We start from the raw sequence: 21620 nt of genomic DNA, 5'->3' as shown, positions 1-21620 counted from the left end.
AGGAGCCACAGCGTCTGATGTTGGGGTTTATATGAGTTCAATTTAAAAGTTTAGGTTTCTTTCATAGATATGTGGGCATTTTTCTATATGAGCACACAAATACTTGCTTAAAAACCAATTTTCCCCCTCCTCCTCCTTCTCCTTCTCCTTCTTCTTCTTTTCTTCTTTTGAAACAGGGTCTCACTCTGTCGCCCAGGCTGGAGTGCAGTGGCGCAGTCTCAGCTCACTGCAGCCTCAACCTGCCTGGGCTCAAGTGATCCTCCCACCTCAGCCTCCCTAGTGGCTGGGACTACAGGTGTGCATTATTACATCCAGCTAATTTTTGTTTTTTTTTATAGAGATGAGGTCTCACTGTGTTGTACAGGCTGGTCTCGAGCTCCTGGACTCAAACAATCCTCCCGCCTTGGCCGTCCAAAATTCTGGGATTACAGGTGTGAGCCACCATGCCTGGCCTGAAACAGGATTCTGACTGACATCTGTCCTTGTACTAACAGCCTTCAGCTTCTAACAACACTAGTTGAAAACACGTTATTATTTTTGAGAGAGATCTCTGCATGGGTTCTGGTTTTTTCCGTGTACTTGCACTCTGGCTGCCCCTGAGCTTTTTCTAGATTGGAAGGGCTGCACCTACGGACATGGTGGGCTGTATGTGACCATGCACACATCATGATTTTAGAGTAAAAACATTACCTTTTGCTGTTCAGAGTGAGGAGCTCTTGGAGACCCATGGGTTGGATGAAGCCCATCTTGGTGGATCAGGCAGTCAGGGCCAAGGTCAGGACTGGCTGGGATGAGGTAGCAAAGGCAGAGCCAGGGGCTGGGAGAGATGGGGGGCGGTGCTGAGGAGAGAGGACACAGGGAGGCAGGGCTTGGGGCATGACAGGGAGGGCCTGGGCAGGAATCCCTGTGCGTTCCCCTACTTTTTGGGTTTTGAAAGTGGAGAGGCGTGGCATGTGCTCTGTGCTGCTGTTTTATCATATACTAAAACCGTGTGGTATGCTGCTCACATCATCTCTAGCTTTTAGAATGAGCTGAACACATCAGTGCATTTGAGGGGCTCCGTGGGGAACGGAGATTCTGCCAGGGCATACGAGTGCATGTTTGCCACTGCATGGGTTCTAGAGCCCCTGCTTGAAGGTTTGAGACAATTAAGAATGGATCGATGTGTTCTCAGGTTCACACAGGCAGAAGACCAAGATGTTGACAGTGTTTCAGCTCCAGGAAACACTGTTTTTCTTTTACATTTTTCAGAACTTCCATACTTAAAATTATTTTTTTGAGACAGGGTCTCACACTGTTGCCCAGGCTGGAGTGCAGTGGCAGTGGCGTGATCATGGCTCAATGTTGCCTTAACCTCTGGGGCTCAAGCAGTCTTCCCACTTCAGCCTCCCGAGTAGCTGGGACTACAGGTGCATGCCACCACAGTCAGCTAATTTTTAAATTTTTTGTAGAGATGTAGGTCTCACTATGTTGCCCAGGCTGGTCTTGAACTCCTGGGCTTGAGCAATTCTCCCACCTCAGCCTCTCAAGGTGCTGGGATTACAGGCACGAGCCACAGCACCCAGCTCATACTTTTTATAATAAAAAATTATTTAAAAGTCATTTTGTATTTCACAGGCCCTATCAGACATGGTCACTCTCTAAGAAGGTCTGAGCATAGCTGAAGTGGATCATCTCATTCAACTTTGGGTGACTGGTGAATGCTGTCTGTCTGCCACTGCATTCTTGAGCCTTCTGTCCCTGTGGTGGGGGTGGCTGTGGGGGTAGAGGCTGGCTCAGGCATAGGGTAAGGGTACCCCGAGTGTCTGCCCAGAGACGTGGTGGTCTTCTGGTGGGCATGCGGTGGTTTTTCCCTCCCTAGTCGTCCAAGGTTGGCTGGCAGAGAGGCTGGGGGTGCTAGGAGGGCCCCTGGGTAGGGACTGGGTCCAGGCTGCAGTGAGTCAGCCATGGGGAGAGGCCTCGGGGAGGCTAGGTCTTAGGGGTGTGCAGCATCCTTGGTCCAGGGAGGCAGCTGGCTCTGCCATCATGAGCCCCAACCCTCGGAGTTTAACTGACACAATCAGCGAAGCCCTGGAGTGCCTGCCCCTGCCTCTGCGGAGGGAGTGACAGCCAGTGCCCACCCGTGCCCAGCCGCAGGCCCTCCCTCATCAGGTCCCTTCCCAGAATCCAGGCCCTGTTCAGAACCCCAGCACCCCTGCCTGCCCGCACCTCTGTGTACCCCTCCCACATGATGGGGTGATAGGGCATGGTGCCGTGCTGGAGGGGCTAGGAGGCCTCGATGATGGTGACGTCCAGGCAGAGACCCGAATCGGGTGAGTCAGGTGTTGGGTGAACCTTGAGGCCAAAGACCCAGCACTGGAACCTGCTGGGCATGCTGAGGACTAGAAGGAGGATGGCGGGAGCGGTGGTGGCAGGAGGCGGCGATGGAAGGGCTGGGGAGGCAGCGTAGGGCTGTGAAGACACGCCTCTGTGTTCCTGTGAGGGTGGTGGGACCATTCCTACCCCCTCACGAGTCCTTCTCGGAACCAGACTCAGCCCCGCCACCATCCTTCTAGGATGGAAACCTCTGGTTCTCTGGAAGGTCCTTTGGGTCCTGTTGGTCACGGGAATAGGTAACAGCAAACAAAACATTTGCCCTCCTCCCCGCTCCCCAGTTCTGACAGATGTCCACATGGGCCATGCGCACCAGAACCGGCCACACGCTGCACGCCCCTCCAGGCTTCCACTGGGCTGACCTGAGGCTCGTGCATGGCCTTGCACCCCTGCCAGCCCCCAGCTCCATCACTGTCATAGTTGGGGTCTGTGCCTCTAGGCTGCTCCTGTGTGGCTGTCCAGCCCTGGATCCTGGGGACACACGGCCATCAGCTCACGGCCCTGGAGCCCAACCTTCATCCTGTTGCCGCCGAGGCCGGCTTCTCACGCTGGGTGGGGGGCGGGCTGCCAGCTGTTTGCTGGGTTAGGACTGAACCCGCAGCGTGGCCTTCCCAGGCCAGCCTTAGTGGCCAGACTGTGTCTTTTCCAGTTTGGCTTTAGCCCTTAAAGACACTGAAGAGGTTTAATTATTTGCCTGCTATTGTTGAAGGGAGTCTTTGTACTCTTTTGTTTTCTGTTTTTTGTTTGTTTGTTTGTCTGTTTTTTGCCCTGCCGGGAGCCCCTGTGCCTGAGTTACTTTTCTGCAGATACTATCCTGGCTTTTCTTGAGTGAATACCCGTTTGGCTTTTTCCTGCCATATGTCAAGCCTCTGGAACATCGTCAATATTTTTCCTCTCATAATGCATAAAAATAAAGTACAGGCTCTCACTGGACTATTTTGCAAATAATTTTTATCCTCTGATAAAATGACACATTGGTGAGAGCAGGCGTTCCTTTAGGACAGCTATTTTTAAAGAATGATGGAATCGTCTTAATCATCTGTTAGTGGCGGGCACCTTTATAAGTCAAATGCTTCTAAGTTGTATTTGCATTATTTGATTATTTCAGCAATAACCACAGTACAAAAGAAGAATGTGCCAGGGAGCACGACGCGGGCAACCACACAAATCAGCCCCGCCAGGTGCTGGCTGAGTCCATGTGTCCAGGCGGCTTTGCCCTTTCCTGTGGTCACCCCATCCCCTGTCTGCTTGCTTCCCCACTCAGCCCCCACGTGAGCTCCCCATCTTCTCTCCAGCTCCAAGTCGCCCACCTGCAACTTCTCCTAAGGAGCGGGGCCCGAAACCTAACAACTGGTCAAGAAGAAGAGCCAGACTCGGGCTGCGCCCCACATGCTGCGTCCACGTTCACCCCAGGCCTGGGTCCTCTTCCCTGGGGGTCTTCGTGGTGGACAGTGGGCACCGTGTCTTCTCAGTGGAAGCACCTGGAATGCTGCATTACACAGGAAGATCCGAGACACACGTGACCCACATGGACGTGGCAGGGTTGGGTGCCCATCCCTCCTGAGGGCAGTCAGAGAGGCGCCCAGCATCACAGTGTGGGCAGGAGGGGTGGCCGGCGAGGGATGTGGTGTGCAATCTGGCGCCCCAGACTGGCCCACTGCAGGTGGTCCCATGGCCTTGCCACGTCCGGGGAGCCGAGAGGTGGGGGTGGCAGCAGGCATGGGAGACACCCCTCTCCCGGTACAGTGATGCCCAGGATGGTGGGTGCTCCCTCTGGCCCCATCTCTGCATCTCACTGGTGGGCTCTGGGCCCTGGGCCGGCAGGATTGGGTCCAGGGCTACCTCTGTCCTGCCGGTGTCCCACCTGCACGGGGGGAAGATTTGTCGAAAGAGATCTCCCAGAATGTGGGGTGATGGCTATTCTTAGAGGCACTGGGGGCACTTAGGGAATCCCTACCCCCAAGTGTGAGCTGGGGTGTGGGCCCAGGGCACCCCATCCATGGGCTGGGCAGCTCGGCCAGCTCTGCTGACTCCAGGTGTGTCCAGGGGGCTCAGGCCGAGTGATGGTCAGGGCCGATCCATAGGATAAACGCACTGACATGGGGTTTCTCAGTGCCCCTGATGACACAGGACCAGGCAAATCCCCTTCTCTCCGCTGTGGGACATCAGGTAATCGTGGTGCTGTGGGAGAGGGGCATCTTCATTCTGTATGGCTGCTGTGACCAAGTCGCACACAGTGGGGTGCTTAAAACAACAAAAATCGGCCGGGCGTGTTGGTTCACACCTGTAATCCCAGCACTTCGGAAGGCTAAGGCGGGCGGATCACGAGATCAGGAGATCAAGACCATCCTGGCCAACATGGTGAAACCCGTCTCTATTAAGAGTACAAAAATTAGTCGAGCTTGGTGATGCACTCCTGTAATCCCACCTGCTCGGGAGGCTGAGGCAGGAGAATTGCTTGAACCCGGGAGGCGGAGGTTGCAGTGAGCCGAGATCACGCCACTGCACTCCAGCCTGGTGACAGAGCGAGACTCTGTCTCAAAAAAAAAAAAAAAAAAAGAAAAGAAAAAAAAAAATCCCTTCTTTCAAAGTTCTGGAGACCAGAAGTCTGAGGTCGTGGTGTGGGCAGCACTGGTTTCTTTTGGGGGCTCTGAGGGAGGGTCGCTCCTTGCCTTCTCCAGCTCCCGGTGTTGCCGGCTGTCCTTGGGGTTTCTTACAGGCCCGTCACACCGATCTCCGCCCCATCTTCACATGGCATTCTCCTCTGTGTGCCTTTCACCTTCTCTAAGGCCACCTGTCACTGGGTTTAGGGCCCACCCAGAGAGTCCAGGATGGTCTCAGGTTGAGATTCTTACCTCTCTTTCATCTGCAACAACCGTTTTTCCAAAAACAGTCATATTCACACATTCCAGACATGCTTCAAGGGGACCACCATTTGACCCACTGTGGGTGGGTAGGAACCATGTCTGAGGTCCCAGAGTAGGCTCTGGGGGCACCTTTTCCTTACTCAAGGGCCTCTCTTTATGGCAAATTAGGTCCTAATCACAACAAAGGTGCCACATTGCCCAGTCCACACTTGCCCATGGCTTTGGTGGGGTCCTGTGGCTGTGGCAGGGGGGACCCTTGTCTCACCAGATGGAACAGCCTGGCCTAGATTGCTCTGATGTGAGAAAGCAGATCTGGTCAGTCCACAGAGTGCGGCGTTCCACACCCTTGACTCACAGATGTCACCAGGAGGAAGGATGGCAGGGATGCCCCTCTAAGCACCACCTGCCCTTAGTGTATGGTCTCCAGAGAAGATGTGCAGGTGGTCAGCCAGCAATGAAGGGTGCCCAGTGTCATCAGCCATTGGGAAAATGAGAGTCAAAACCACAGTGAGCGGCCACTTCACAGCCACCAGGGTGGTTAGAACTCAAAAGTCAGATAATAACAAGTGTTGGCGAAGACATAGGGAAATCAGAGCCCTGCCACACCAACTGCTGCTCTATGATTGTTGAATGGTGCAGCCTCTTTGGAAAGTAGCCTGGCAGTTGCTCAAAAAGTTAAACACAGAAGTGCCATATGGCCCAAGAATTTCACTTCTAGATATATACCCAGAGAGCTGAAAACATATGTCCCCACAAAAACTTGCTTATAGCAGCACTATTCATAGTAGCCAAAAGGTGGGAGCAGTGCAAGTGTTCATCGACAGATGCCTGGATAAACAAAATGTGGTCTGTCCATCCACACAGTGGCACACAGGAAGCACCGATTTATGCTGTAATGTGGATGAACCTTGAAAACACTGCTCTGTGACAGTAACAGACACAAAATGCCCCATTTCGTATGATTCTATGCACAGGAAATGTCCAGACATGCAAATCCAGAGATAAAGTCGATGAAGGGGTAGGGGGATGACTGCTAACAGGTGTGGTTTCTTCCGGAGGTGATGAAAATGTTCTGGAACTAGATCATGTGATGGTTGCACAGCTCTGAGAATACCCTAAAACTGCTGAATCGCATACTGTAGAGGCAGGGTCTCACGCTGTCACCCAGGCTGGAGTGCAGTGGTATGATCTCAGCTCACTCTAACTTCCACCTCCCGGGCTCAAGCGATCTTCCCGCTTCAGCCTCCTGAGTAGCTGAGACTACAGGTGCAGACCACCACACCTGGCTAATCTTTTGTGTGTAGATACAGTGTTTTTTTTTTTTTTTTTTTGTAGAGATGTGTTGCTTTGTTGCCCAGGCTGGCCTTGAACTCCTGGCCTCAAGTGCTCCTCCCACCTCAGCCTCCCAAAGCACCAAAGTGCCATCGTGCCTGGCCTTTGAATTGCACATTTTGGTAGAATTTTATGGCATGTGAGTCCCATCTCAATAAAACAGTTTCAGAAAGCAATGATTGCTCTCTTTTGGGCAGCAGAGCCTGGGCTTGTCTCTGCTGGCTGGAGCTACCTGGACACAGACCTGCCGCGACTGGCACGCACCAAGTCGCCCTGGGTAAGGGGAGGGCACCTGGCATGTTGGGTCAGAGTCAGGGGCTCCGTGATTAGAGGAGCAACCACCCTGGGTGTCTTAAGTCCGTTAGGTCCTTCAAGGGGAGCTGGTCCAGGACTGAGCATCAGTCCACCTGCCTGGGCTGGTGAGGCCTCCTTGAGTATGGCTTCCAGTGTGCCCAGGAGTGTGGGATACCCATGGCCCCCCAGGCCTGAGCCAACAAAGCAAAGGCCAGAGCATCCTGGGCCGGCTGTTGTGGCCCCACTGCCCACTGTGGGGTTCTCTTGGCCCACAACCTTGGACCCCTGTCTGGGTGTTTGAATTGCTCCTCTGATTAAAGGAACAAGCCCAGTTCTTGTGAGCTCTTAGCAAATCACCTCAAATCATTTTTGAAGGAGAGAAATAATTCACAAATAAGCAGCTTAAGTTTCCATTTTCCACAAGCAAATTTCCATGCATCCTAGGAGTTGACCGGACTGCGTTCCCCCATCCCCACCACCCTTTCAGAGTTTCTTGAGCTGCCCTCAGCCAGGCAGAGCCTGAGGCTCAGCCCCTGCAACGGGGGGCTTGAGCGGGGGACACCCCGGGGGCACCCTGCTAGCACAGTGGGAATGGAATTGATTGTCTTCCTAGCAAGTTTGCTATTTAATAGTTTTAAAATTAAAATGCATTTTAAAGAATCTTTAAACCTGTGGAGTTCAAAATGAGATCTCTGGCAGTTTAAATGCCCAGCTGTCAGATACAGGCTGATTCCATTTGGTCACGCAGCACCCTTCCCTCTGGAGCGCTCTCACCACCCATTCTCCTCCTCGGCAGCGACAGAGAGGCTGTGCAGTTCATTCGTTTCTTTATGATCCCACTGCAGCTACCGTGGTTAAATTTTCTGCAGTCGGTGTTCTTGGCACATCATTTGTATAGGCAGTACTTGACAGAATTTGATTTGAAAATTCATTTTCCCTTTGAAAACGCTTTGCTAGATTTGCAATTATCTCCCAGCTTTGCGTCTGGCTTGGCTTGCAGAACAAATGCCACGGTCAAGGCCAGCATTATCACCTGGGGTTTGCGTGGCGCCGTGCCCAGCTGTTTCTCCTGTAAGGAGGATGTCTTTGCATGATAGGGGATGCCTCATCCTCAGGGGGCCAACCCAGCCTCTTCCTAGAGCCAGGGTCCGGCTTCTGGGGAGCATCTCCTTCTGTGGGTGGGAGGGGGTCTGTTTCCACATCAGAGACTACACTGAGGTGATAAAGGGGCCCTTTGCCATGCCCCAAGGGGCAGAGGCCTCTAGCTGCGTGGAACTCTACCCTCTGCCATTGGAGGGTTTTCTCTGGGGCCACTGAACACTCCACTGAGCTGAGTAGACGATGGCTGTGGGGAAGGCTGCCAGCTCTTCCACCCTTCACCTGCCCCTCCGAGCTGGCTGTGGCTTCTGCTGCAAGTGAGAGCAACTTGGCCGGGAGACGGGTGCTGCTTGGTGAGACAGCAGGTGCAGGGAACTGATTTGTTGGGGTGTCTAAACCAGTCCCCCAATCTAAAGCTTCCCAGGGCACTGATTTACCAGACCATCTGGGAAACTGCAGAGGCCTGGGCTTGCTTCTGAGGGAGGCCCACGTGCAGCTTTGCATAAGCAGGTTCTTATGAAACATGAGCACTGGTAACAGCTGTAAAAGCATTTTAAATAAAAATTTAGTGAGGTTAAAAATTCCATCTCAGAATGTACACGTGAATGTTTTTGGTGCGTGTAGAGTTCACGCCTATGTTTTTTGCTGGAATAACTGGGTGCTGTAATTCTGCGTCGCACTCCCCCCAGAAGTCTCTTTGAGAGGTGGCCTCCTGGGGACATCCACATTCAGCCTCAGGGTCCTTCCTTCACTGGCTGCGCTGGGGGAGCTGCGCTGGGCCACCTGAGTTCACAGTGAGGCCGGCTGTATCTTGCCCTGGCTTCCTACGAGCAGGTCACATGGGTCAGCCTTCACCTTGCCCTTAGGGGGCAGGGGCCGTGCTCTGCCACCTCCACCCCTCCTGTAGGTAGAGGGGAGCCCCCAGTCCCCAGTGTCTGAACCTCAGGGCCTGGAAAACAAACATGCGTGCTTGTGTGCTCCCTTTTCCTTCAGAATTTATTCTGCAGGTGGTCCAGTTGGGGCCTTCTGGTATCAGGGGTGACTCTCAGAGCTTGAAAACCCAAAGTCCAGCTGAGGGCGAGCTGGAGGGCCTGGGAGACGTCCTCCCCGTGTAGCCCAGCTCCAGGCACAGAACCCAGGCCCAGCCAGTGCTGGCCGTCTTCCAGCATGAGTGGGGCGAGCTGTTCCACCCAGGCCGGAGCGGGAGCCTTTGCCCCCAGGTTGGGCCAGGGCTCAGGGCTCCCACCAAAGGGTGGGAGATTTGGGAGTGGACCTGAAGAAGGGACAGGAGAGAGTCTGTGGGCCAGGGAGGCAGGGCCGGGGGCATTTCTGCAGGTGGGAAGGTGGGCCTGGGTGACTGGCGCAGACCCTGGGGAGGCTGGCGTTGTTGTTACCCTTATTACCCTGCGTGCACTGAGAGGCCCCTGCTGCGTGCAGGTAGTTGGGGGGGACACGCCCTTTGTGAGTGCACGTGCGGGCCCAGAGGCAGCGCTCCAGGCTCGAGTGACAGGCGCCGCGCGGCCCCTCCTCACGCCCTTGTCCCCTGCTGTCCCGGTTGCTGCCTGTGGCCTCCGCGCACTGCGCTCTCGAACCCCGCGTGGCCCACCCGGGGAGATGTGGAGACCCTGACCCCTGCCGCCCGCGCCTCCCCTGCCCCCTCCCCGTCCCCCCGCCGCATTCAGGGACACCTGGCCCCTCTCTCCCCACGCTGCCCGCTGCCCACTGCCTGCGGGGTGGCCCAGCTCCACTGCTCGCCCTTCAGCCTGGACCGCCCCCCTCCACCTCCCTCCCCCACTTCCGCGTGCGGGGCCTGACGCCTAGGGAGTGACCCCCGCGTGCGCCCGGGACACCCCGGCTCTGTGGCTGAGGCTGCGCCGCCCCTGCTGGGCCCCGCCCCCGCCTCCACTGTCCCTCCGCGCCGCCTCTTCCGGGGTCCACGGTACTCTCGCGACTTTGCCGCGGCGACGTGGGGGTTTTATCGCGGTATCGCGGAACACAGCCCCCGCCATTCCCAGTCACCCGCTCGGAGGCCGTGGGCGCCTTGACGAGGGCGCGGCGGCGGGAATGCACAACGTTATGCTCATCACCTGCGTCCACCACTGTCACCCCTGACGGCGAGACGCGAGGTGCTAAGGGCTTGTCCAGGCTAAGCGGGTTCTCTGCGTCCTTAAGCCCACTTTGCAGATGCTAATCAGAGGGGACAGGCGGCCAAGAACCTGGAGCCCACCCGGGCGTCTGTGCCCAGTGCCGACCGTCTAAATTCCCTTCCCACGTGGCTCCTGTTGCGTCTGGGCTGTGGAGGATTCCTCTAAACAGGCACAGCCACCCTCTGGGTAAAGTACTTATTGATGTGAATTGAACGTAAAGCTGCCAGCCTTTCCTGGCAGTTTGCTTTGAAGGGCTTGGAGAGGTGGGGGGCTGTGCCCTTGGGGCGGGCAGGGCGTTCAGTGGCCTGGCTGGCCCCACAACACCTGTGGTTCCAGGTCAGGCTGGAGGACTGTGTGGGGCTGGCTGTCCACCCACAGGCACCTGCAGGGGGTAGGTGGGACTGGGGGCTCAGCACCGAGCCCTGGTCTGCAGCCAGGCCGGGTGGGCAGAGTTGATGTGCAGGCTGTCCCAGGTGCCACACCAGGCAACACCTTCCCAGCTGGCGTCAGGCACCCTGTGCCCCACTGGGCCAGAAGGCCACAGTGAGCCTGGAGCTGTGACCTGAGGCCTGGGGAGGCCTTCCCTTCACAGGGCACAGCGCCTGCCCTGGGGCTGTGGCACCAACATCGGTGGTGGCTTTGTGCTGTTTTCACCCTTATTACCTAGCAGGAGCAAGCAGGGAAACCGGGTCACAGGATAAGTCTTCCACCGTCAGGCAGGGTGAGTGGCTTTGAAATGCAGGCCTCATTGCTTATTGGAAGTGGGATCTTGGGTGGATTTGTGAACCTCTCTGAGCCTTGGTTCTTCCCTCTGTAAATTGGGGAACAGCCCCTTACCTCCTCTGGGGTGGTGGGGACTTCAAAGCAGATTCGCTAATTACCAGTCCCAAGAGAAGACTCCTACTTCGTGGAGAACAGCAAAGATCGTCATAGCCAAATACCAGGAACTTCTGCCTGTGGGCACTGCATCCTGGGCTACTGTTTAGTCCTCCATGCGCTGGTGACCTACATGCTCACATACAAGTTACGCAACACAGGTTGATTACTTACAGATAGGAAGCAAGGGACAGAGCCAGTCCCCAGTGTCGGGAAGGCTGCCCAGGGCAGATGGATTGCTGACTGCACATGCTTCTCTTTGCACCAGGGCTAAAGGGCCCTGCAAGCAGCCGCAGGTTAGAGCCCTCAGGGACCACGTGACCCCCAGGGCAAAGCTTTGAAGGACACCCTGCTTCCAGGGAGAAAGAAGCAAAGCCCAGGCGGTTCCTCCCTAACTCAAGCTGTTACAGTCCCTGGGAGGGTCAAGGACAAGTTCCAGGCTGTTCTGGGCAGTCCCTCCCTATCTCTGGATGCCGCGTCCTCAGCACGTTCTACCAGCAAGCAAGAAAGCTGGGAGTGCTGGGTTGATCCCAGGCCCCCTGGAGAACATTCCTGCAGGGATTATCTGAGCTATGCCACTCCCACAGGTGACCTGAGCTGGGTGACATATATGCCACTCTCACAGGTGACCGGTCAACGGTCATATGAGGGATTAAACTGTGTCCAGCCCCCACCCACCAAGCCCTAGAACTGCCAGGGTCTTCTGAGTCTCGGAGGAAGTAGCCAGCAGTCTCAGCAGTTCCCTGGTCAGGCTGTGCTGGGGACACTCACCATGTAATGGGGTTGAGGGGACCACGGGGATGGTGATGAGCCCAGGGCTTGGTGCCACGTGTGGGCCCGAAGGCCACAGGGAGGGCCAGTACCGAGTCCTGAGAGAGAGCAGGGGTGGGTGGGGTCCGCAGGAGGCCAAGGCAGGAAGTGAGCAGGACCGTCCCATCCTCACTCCCTGCCAGGCCTCCTGCTGACCCAGCGTGCCCACTGCAGCTCCCTGACCCCAGAGGAGGGCAGAGAAAGGGGACAGATGGATGGGGAGGGAGACAGTAGCAACAATAGTAACATTGGGGTGGGTGTGGCAGCACGGCTGTGCCTGGGACCACAGGAGTGTGTGCCTGTCTGGGGCCCCAGATCTGCTGCCGGTGGCTGGTGGTGCTGCCAGGTCAGTGGGCCCCCAGCCTGGCAGCCCCTGGGGTGTCTGCTGTGGATGAGGCCTGCCTTGGGGACATGGGTCATGGCTGCCCATGGACGTCTGGCCTCAGTGCGGACAGGAGGGGTTGGGCATGTGCAGGAGGGGCTGGGCCTGTGATTGGCAGCAGTGAACAATTCTAGCCCCAGTGGTGGAGGGGTGGAGGGGCTTGCTCGGCCATTAGTTGGTCATGGTGAGGGCTGAGGAACAGCTGCTGTGGGGGTCACAGCTGTGGGGCCGCATTTGTGTGTCCCAGGCAGAGGCTCTTCCCTGGCTTCTTTGCGATGCTCTTGGATTCCTGGTGCTGGAGCGAGAAGTCCCAGGCTTTAATGGAAAGCTGGCCCTGGAGAGGCCCAGGCGGTGCCTCAGACACCTGGTCCTCACCCCTGCATGCTCCAGCCTCTGTCCAGCTGAAGTCTGCATGTGACCACTGTCTCCTGGAGATCTGCTGATATCTAGGAGGCAAACACACCTGGGTCTCCACGGCTGAGTGTGGGGGCTGTAGGGGTAGGGAGCTGGCTGCCTGGGGTGGTCTGTCTTGGGAACTGGAGCTTAGAGCCCAGCTTATGTCCTGGGTTCAGCTGTGTGGGGAGGGAGGCAGTAGGAGCTGGACTGGGCTTCCGTCCCTTGTTGGGGCCCATGGGGCGGGGCTGGTCCTCTCTGGCCTGGCTGTGCTGCCTGTCCTCCCATCTGTCCCGCCACCTGCCTGCTCCCATCCTCCCTGCCGCAGCTCGGCCAAGACTGTGATGCTGCTGCCCTGGAGTGACAAGGTGTCTCTTTAAGGTCCCCACCTGCAGGATTTATGTCATATTTGGCAAACAAGAGTGTGAAAGGGATCCAGTCCTGGGCCCTTACCCCCTTACCGCACATAGATGCCAGAGAGTCCTAGTGACACCTGGGCTGAGATCTGGCGCCTTGGCATCCAGCGATGTGGTCTTGGCCATGAGTTACCTTCAGGAGTGTCAGTCTCCTTGTCTGGGTGGAAGGCGTGGTGTGATGGGCTGTGCTTCCGTGCCCTGTGCAGGGCTTGGAGCCCCAGCCCTCCTGGGCCTCAAGGTGGCTGGGGCCTGCCCCAGTGGGTGGGGTAGTGCGTGTAAACTCTGAGCCCGGTGGCCAGCCCTCGTAACTGCTGGGAAACACTGCAGGGTCATCACACGTGGGTCAGACGGGCTGAGCTCACACGTGCGCACCGCGTCTCTCTCCCTGCACGTGCCTCCAACCCGCACCTCCCACCTGCAGCCACAGCTCACATTAGGGACCAGGGGCTCGAATGAATTAACAGTTTAATCAGCTTTACAAAATTAGCCCAGAGTCAGTCCATCCTTGTATTTTTTGAACCGAGAGCTGCTTTGTTCGTGCATATTTTCTCCTGCTTTTTTTGAGGATGTCCGTTCAGTAGTCATCTGACCCCGTGAACGAAATGCCTTCTTTACGGGTTTGACTCCTTTTAACAGTGAACACTTTCACTGTTTATCTTTGAGAAAATTTATCTTTGAGAAAATATTGATGTAGTGTGATTTTAAAAGAGCTTCCTACTAGGTTCTAATTTATTCTTTTACAATTTTTATTTCAAAAATTTTAACAAGTGAGTACTTCCTATTTATATCAATTGATTCCCTTTATTGTGGACATTGTATTTAAGGACATTTAAAAACTGAATTTAAAATGAAATTGTAAAATGTCATTGAATAAAGCTGGTGGATTCAAATCAAAGGGAGATGCTTTGTCAGTGATGGAACATTAACCGCCCCTCCCCATTTATCTGTCGGGCCCGCAGGCTCACTTGAGGGTGAGCCCCGTCGTGCTGGACAGATTTAACACTAAGTGATGAGTAGGTTGAGATTATAATTGTTTGCTTTATACTCTGCATACTTAGAAATGGAAATTTAGTACCCCAAATTTTCTTCTGGATTCTGTTAATCAGGATAGACTGAATTTTGTAAGCTGTGTTCATTCATTTCCTGGGACCCCTGCCTGAAGGTGTCTGCTCACAGTGAGGGGTCTGGGTGGGATGACTGACACAATGAATAAAGACCCCTCCTGCTCCCGCCCCAGGCACTGCTGGGACCATGTGGGAAACTTGGCCTCTTCCTCTGAAATACTGGTCCTGAATGGCCGGGACGCTAGCTCAGGGGCTAACTCAGCTTTTCAAATAGCACGGGGTTTCTGTGTGTGCGTGCGTGCCTGTGTGTGTGTGTGTGTGTGTGTGTGTGTGTGTGTGTGATTACAGCTCTCTTTTTGCAGATGGTCAACACCTTTGTAGGTCTGGTTTTAAGGTCTTTAATTTACTGAAATCAAGGTACAGCGGCAGGGTATTTGCTTGTGGGCACTGATGCCAAGTCAGCAGTGTGACTGTGGTGCCCGTCATGGCATGGTGTGGGGCGGGGTGTGGTGAGTGTTGTTCCTCGTGGTCGTGAAGACACTCGGAGCTTCCCTGTTCTCGGGGGCAATGGCTTTGGACACGCTGTTCAGGATGCCCCTTTCCCACGCGCAGGCAATTATACCGTCAGAGCCCATGGCCCCTAGACATCATGGAGGCCTCCTCAAATCACAGAGAACCACAAATGGCCTCGCAGGTTGTTGTAGACGCCGTGCGCTTGTCCGGGGTGGGTAAAGGCTCCGAGGCTCAGGTCCAGGGCCCGAGGGGGCTGTCCTTCCAGGTGGATGGGGGTCCCCAGGGTCTTTCAGGGAAGCTTGAGCCCACCCCAAGAGCAGCTTCCTCAGAGTTGTACAGGCCCACAGATTTGAGGTTTTACCTTGGAGGAGGGTTACCTGGCAGGGTTTGCTAAGTGGATGTCAGGGCTCCCAGGCCCTCCTGCATGGCACTGCAGCATGGAGGGGTCTGGCCAAGGGTTGGCTCCCCAGCCTGCTTCTGGGCCTTCCACACAGGTCAGGCGGCCGCAACAAAGGACTCCAGACTCGGTAGCCGGAACGGTAGGAATGTATTTTCTCTCAGTCCTGGAGGCCAAAAGTCCCAGACTACTGCGTGGCAGGGCTGGGTCCCTCTGAGGCTGGGTCTCTCCTTGGCTTGCAGACACCGCCTTTGGCCATTGTCCCCACAAAGTCGGCCCTCTACCTGCCTGTGTCCATATTTCCTCTTCTTATAAGGACACCAGGTATATTGGATTAGGGCCCGCCCTGATGACCTCATTTAACCTTAATGACCTCTTTAAATATCCTATCTCTGGGCTGGGCTAGATGGCTTATGCCTGTAATCCCAGTACTTTAGGAGGCAGAGGCAGATGAATCGCTTGAGCCCAGGAGTTCCAGACCAGCCCGGGCAACATGGCAAGACCCCGTCTCTACAAAAAATACAAAAATTGGCTGGCCTTGGCTGGGCACGGTGGCTCACCCCTGTAATCCCAGAACTTTGGGAGGCTAAGTCAGGCAGATCATGAAGTCAGGTGATCGAGACCATCCTGGCTGACACGATGAAACCCCATCTCTACTAAAAATACAAAAAAAAAAAAATTAGCCGGGCCTGGTGGTGGGCGCCTGTAGTCCCAGCTACTTGGGAGGCTGAGGCAGGAGAATGGTGTGAACCCGGGAGGCTGAGCTTGCAGTGAGCTGAGATTGCACCACTGCACTCCAGCCTGGGCGACAGAGCGAGACTCTGTCTCAAAAAAAAAAAAAAAAAGAAAAAATTGGCTGGCCATAGTGGCACCCACCTGTCTTCCTAGCTACTCAGGAGGCTGAGGTGGGAGGATCACTTGAACCCAGGAGGCGGAGGTTGCAGTGAGCTGTGATCACACCGCTGCACTCTAGCCTGGGGGATAGAGCAAGACCCTGTCTCAAAAAAAAAAGTGGGGGAGATACTGTTTCCAAACACAGTCACATTCTGACATTCTGAGTCCTGGGGGTTAGGACTTCAATGTTTGAATTTGGGGGGTGTGGTCACAGTTTAGCCCATGATAAGGTCACACAGCAAATCTGCCTCATCCAACCCCACCAGGCCCACCCCACCAGTGAGCAGGCCTGGCAGGGCAGTCTGTGCTCAGTAACACCTCAGCTCCATGGGAGACCATTCAGAGGCTTCAGCTGCCCCAAGAGGAAGGCAGGGAGCCCTGAGGCACACAGGCTGCCTTCTGCAGGTGGGAGTCGGCTTCCCTGCAGGGCACCAAGCATCCCCGCTAACTGGAGGCAGGGCCAGGAGGGGTCAAGTATCAGGCCCGTCCCTGAAGGGTTCCCTACCTCCCATGCCTTTTATTTTGGTGATGAGCGCCCGTTTCTAGCATTTTCCCTGCCAAGTAGACAGGCATGTCACCCCTGTGGGAGCTCATCTTGACACTTGCTGCACTGGTCTCACATGCACACACGCATGCACATCCATGCCTGCACATATATTCACATGCACACAGATACATGGACGCACATGCATGTACACACTTATGCACAACGCACAGATTCACACGCACACAGCCATGGACAGGTGCATGTGTGTACATGTACATACTTGCACACACACGGCGGTGGTTCTTGGCCTCTCCAGAGCACAGGAGAGGAAGTGTGTGAGTGAGCCGAGGGGACATGCAAGTACCCCATTCTTTGCTCAGAGGCTCAGTCCCCTCTTTGGTCCGGGGCTTTGTGTGATGACTGGGGCTTTGTGTGCCAGCACCACGCTGCCATCAGCCTTTCATGCACCTGCGTTGTGGCTGAGCCGTCTCCTCCGCTTACCAAGCAGCGAGGGGCCCGTGTTGACCTGGCGTTGCTGGGAACTCCTTGCACTAGTGTTGTGAGGTTTTTGGTGCCAGGGCAGAGAATGATTCTGGGTTCCTTTCTGGGGGTCTCTGCGTGGCCCCTGCTCGTGTCCTCTTTCTCAGAGCCGAGATTTAGCTTCCAGGAGGTGTTGTCATCCAGTGCCCTAAATTCAGTACCTGGCCTGTTTGCTGGGCCAGATGGTGTCTCGTCAGCGAGCTGCAGTCAGGGCTGCGGGACACACGTGGAGAGGGACTGTGAGGGCTCCGGGCCACCTCAGTCACAGCCAGGTGTCTGCTGTGGGACCATCCACACCAGGCCCCTGCTTCTCCCACCCTCCCATACCTACTGCTCTGAAGGGGAGCGGGCAGGTTTGGGGCCATAAGGGAGCTGGTGGCTCTGCTGACCTGGACTAATGCCTGAGGTGGGTGTCAGGCCCAGCGGGTCTCATGCAGGCCTTGGGCAGGCTGCGAGCTCAGCCCCACCCCGAAAAGGGGCCATGCTCCCTCCTGGTTCAGGAAGTGGCAGGAAGGCTCCTCTGCCCTCTGGTAGGAAGGTGCTGTTCTTGGCTCTTCCCCTCTTCCTTGGGAGCGAGGAGGGGCATTGGCAGGTCCCGGGCCCAGGTGAGCAAGCTGGTGGCCACCCCAGAAGCTGGGTCAGAATTCTAGGGGAGGGGAAGCTGGCGGTCACCCCATAAGCAAGGTCAGAATTCTGGGGACTGCGCTGGGTGCGGTGGCTCACGCCTGTAATCCCAGCACTTTGGGAGGCCGAGGCGGATGGATCATTTGAGGTCAGGAGCTCGAGACCAGCCCAGGCAACACAGTGAAACCCTGTCTCTACTAAAAATACAAAAATTAGCTGGATGTGGTGGTGGGATTACACCTGTAATCCCAGCTACTTGGGAGGCTGAGATGGGATGATTGCTTGAGCCTGGGAGGTGGAGGTTGCAGTGAGCTGAGATCACACCAGCCTGGGCAGCAGAGTGTACTCCAGCCTGGACAGCAGAGTGAGACTCCGTCTCAAAAAAAATGACCTTTGCATCTGAAGCAAAGGTCAAGGGCCCAGTTGCTCATCTGTAAGTTGACAGCTACAAGGCTTCGAAAGTGCAGCACTCCCTGGGGCTCGGGCCTTGGGGAAGGGCCAGGAGGGGCCTTTTGGGCCTCACTTTCCCCGCCTCCCCTCCTCTCCTTCCACGCAGTAGAGCAGGAACAAGGTTAAGAGTGTCTCCTGCCTCCCAACCCCACTCTTCTTCCCATTTCATCACGGAGGGGTCGCTGGGCGACTGCGACCTTGTGGCTCTCCGGGGTTGCCTGGGCCCATGGAGGGAATGTGTTTACTTCCAGAAAGGCACAAAGTGCAGGGACACAGCAGTGGTGCTGAGAGGGTGGGAGCAGATGGCAGCCAGTGCCCACCGTCCATCTCTGTGTCTCTGGCATCTGTGAGCACACCAACGGCCGGGGGGGCAGGCACATCAACGGCCGGGGAGGGGGCGGGCACACCAACTGCCGGGGGGGCGGGGTCTGGGTCTGTCTTGCTCTGGGCTGTGTCCCAGGTCCAGATCGGCTCCTAGCAGAGTGGTTGCTCAGGCAGCATCTGCCGGAGAGCGAGTGGGTGCAGAGGCTCCGTCAGCCTCCTGTGAACAGTCCCAGGGAAGGCTTCCCATTGGCTGCCCAGGTCTCAGGTGCATGCAGCCGTCGCTGGAGCCCAGGCAGGGGGGCAGTGGATGGCCTCGTGTGGGTCTGCTCAGCCTCACTGGGGTTTGCTCTCCCCACCCCAGGGGTCTGGGCCAGTGTCTTGAGCTGATCCAGAGAGTGAGGACTGGAGGGCCAGGAAAGAGTCAGGACAAAGTGACCCTGGCCAAGGCCACACAGAGGGGAGGGGTGGCAGGCCAGAGCACACGGAGGAAACGGCCCCGACGGAGATGGGAGTCTGTGGGGAACACGGCCAGCGCATTCGAACTGTGCGCGATTTGGTATATTCTCCTCTCCTCTGTCTTTCTCTCTGTGATTATAAAGAGTCCTTTTTATAAAAATAGGTTCAGGCCAGGCACAGTGACTCACTTCTATAATCTCCGCAACTTTGGGAGGCCAAGGTGGGAGGATGGCTTCAGGCCAGGAGTTCAAGACCAGGCTGGGCAACACAGGGAGACCCCATCTCTAGAAAAAATTTAAAATTAGCTGAATATAGTGATGTGTGCCTATAGTCTCAGCTACTTGGGAGGCTGAGGCAGGAGGATCTCTTGAGCCCAGGAGGCGGAGGTTGCAGTGAGCCATGCTCATGCCACTGTACTCCAGCCTGGGCAACAGAGTGAGACCCTGTCTCAAAAAATACGTATATAGGCTGGGCACAGTGGCTCAGGCCTGTAATCCCAGCACTTTGGAAGGCTGAGGCGGGTGGATCACGAGGTCAGGAGTTTGAGAGCAGCCTGGCCAACATAGTAAAACCCCATCTCTACAGAAAATACAAAAATTGGCCGGGCGTGGTGATGGATGCCTATAATCCCAGCTATTCGGGAGGCTGAGGCAGGAGAATCGCTTGAACCCAGGAGGCAGAGGTTGCAGTCAACTAAGATCACGCCACTGCACTCCAGCCTGGGCGACAGAGTGAGACTCTGTCTCAAAAAAAAAAAAAAAAAGAAGAATCATTATATATATATATATATATATATATATATATATATATATATATATATATATATATATATATATATATATATATTTTCAAGGACTTCATCACTTTTGTAAGGGGCTTCTTTGAATCCTCGAAACTCTGATCCAGGGGAACAAGCTGTTTGCATCCTGGGGCAGTGGGAACCTCACGTGCCAAGGGACGGTGGCCGTGCTGTGTGCGTAGAGCACCAAGGAGGCCAGGCGGGGTTGGGGCGTGTGGTGGTTGCAGTTGAAGACCAGCTTCTGAGCCCCTGCGTGTTTGGTGGGAGGGGAACCTCTGAGCGTAGAGTTTCCTGCCACAGTGCACTGGTGTGGAAACTGAGATGCTGTGAAGTTCCTAGAGAAGTGGGGGGTGTGTGGCAAATTGTTTCTGAATCATGGGAAATGGTTTATGATGCACTGTCAATCATTCTTCACTTAAGTGTAGTAAATTTTATTGTTATTCTGGGCCACTTCATATTTTGGTTTTGTGAATAAAAAAATATTTCCTGGCCGGGCACAGTGGCTCATGTTTGTAATCCCAGCACTTTGGGAGGCTGAGGCGCGTGGATCACCTGAGGTCAGGAGTTCGAGACTAGCCTGGCCAATATGGCGAAACCCCGTCTCTACTAAAAATACAAAAATTATCCAGGCATGACAGCGGGCACCTATAATCCCAGTTACTGGGGAGGCTGAGACAGTAGAATCGCTTGAACCCAGGAGGCGGAGGTTGCAGTGAGTTGGGATCGTGCCATTGCACTCCAGCCTGTGCAACAAGAGTGAAACTCCATCTCAAAAAAAAAAAAAAAAAAAAAATTTCCTGAGAGCTGCTTTTGTCGCCTGGAGCGCCGGGGACCCCACTCTTCCCAGAGCCCCTTTTCTGTGGGCTCTCCACCAGAGGGAGCGTGAGGACCTTGTGTCTGGGGTGCAGCAAAGGATCTGGATTCCCCACAGTCCTGGGGTGAAATGCAGGGGCCCTGGGGACCCTTGAATCAGGGGTTGAGCTGGCAGCCTGAGCCTCAGCTTTAGTTGTTTCCCTCTAGATCCTGGTGTGGAAAGCTGATAAAAGAGCCGGCTGCTGCTCAGGGTGGAAGGTCCCAGGCTGAGCCCACACATGGCCTGGGGACAAGGCAACCAACCGAGGCATCCCCTCCAGTTCCCCACCCACTCATGGCCCTGGCCCCTCTCTCCTGCAGAGGTCGGATCCGCAGCTGCTTGCCCGGTTCTACTATGCCGACGAGGAGCTGAACCAGGTGGCCGCGGAGCTGGACAGCCTGGATGGGCGGAAGGACCCCCAGCGGTGCACGCTGCTGGTCAGCCAGTTCCGCTCCTGTCAGGTGAGCCACGGGGCAGCAGAAGCTGGCTGGCCCCGCTGGGCATTGGACAGAGTGGCCTGTCCTCAGTAGACCAAGGCTTTGTCACCTGCTGGCCCCCTGTGGTGGCGTTGTCAGGGTCGGGTGCTAGAGAAGCCAGGCCCAGGAAGAGGGACCATCCCGGGCAGGATGCGTGGGGTGGGTAGCCGGGCTGGAAGTGAGAAACCGCACGGGACACTTGGGGGAGCAGAGGCTGGGAGAGCGGGGGCAGGGGGTGCGGAGTGAGCAGGCTTCTGAGCCAAGGGGCAGCCAGTGTGGGAGGGGTGGGCCTGCCCAGGTGCTGGTGCAGAGCTTGGGTACCATGCAGTGGTCACACTCTGCCACTGACTAATGGTGCTGCCAGCATCTGCTGCATAATTGACAGATGGCCCTGGAAGCTGCCGCTAAAAATACCCTGGCCGAGGTTTTCTTCCCAGTACACCAAGCACTCAGAGGCATTTCCAACACAACGGCAAACGGCATGCTGCAAAGTTTTATCAAGTGATGACGAGGGGTTTTCACAAAGTTCCGGAATGTTCTTGGTGTACTCTTCCCACAGGGTCTTGCTGAATCCTTGCGGCCATGGGAGGTGGGGCCTGACACATGCTCCTCCAACAGGGGGGAGTCTATCACTGTGTCACCGTGGTCCTGAGGGTCCCACCCTGTGGGGCTCCTGCAAAGTGGCCAAGCTGGCTGCACCCCAGCCCTGGCTCTGGGCCTGGCCCTGCTGCGGTGGGAACTCAGCAGCATTAGGG

The 21620-nt window shown here is 55.7% G+C and overlaps 1 protein-coding gene and 1 long non-coding RNA gene across 7 annotated transcripts in view, besides 1 other annotated feature; both read left to right on the top strand.

Moving 5' to 3' along the window:
- The window catches only part of ZFYVE28 (zinc finger FYVE-type containing 28), a 149049-nt gene that overhangs the window by 43863 nt on the left and 83566 nt on the right, over positions 1 to 21620 (top strand). For 3 of the 6 annotated variants that reach the window (NM_001172656.2, NM_020972.3, NM_001172657.2), the window contains exon 2: positions 20710 to 20850. The exons of 1 other annotated variant lie outside the window; for it this stretch is intronic. In NM_001172656.2, the coding sequence (NP_001166127.1) occupies positions 20710 to 20850 (141 nt within the window). Of the gene's footprint in view, positions 1 to 9968; positions 10298 to 20709; positions 20851 to 21620 lie in introns of those variants that run through there. 2 more of the 6 variants (NM_001172659.2, NM_001172660.3) reach the window with 1 other exon arrangement.
- Positions 339 to 6748, top strand: LOC107986249 (uncharacterized). The gene is made up of 2 exons (XR_001741550.2): positions 339 to 431; positions 1618 to 6748. It is a non-coding gene; the product is annotated as an uncharacterized LOC107986249 (long non-coding RNA).
- Positions 9937 to 10006: a silencer, noted in NCBI's record as "silent region_15165". NCBI's record gives its function as "represses an Ori minimal core promoter by ATAC-STARR-seq in GM12878 lymphoblastoid cells {active_cell/tissue: GM12878}" and the evidence as "EXISTENCE:reporter gene assay evidence [ECO:0000049][PMID:35858748]".

This window comes from Homo sapiens, chromosome 4 (assembly GCF_000001405.40).
Source record: "Homo sapiens chromosome 4, GRCh38.p14 Primary Assembly".
NCBI lineage: Eukaryota > Metazoa > Chordata > Mammalia > Primates > Hominidae > Homo > Homo sapiens.
Note: the sequence above shows the minus strand (reverse complement) of the source record. Positions and strands in the feature narration are given on the sequence as shown.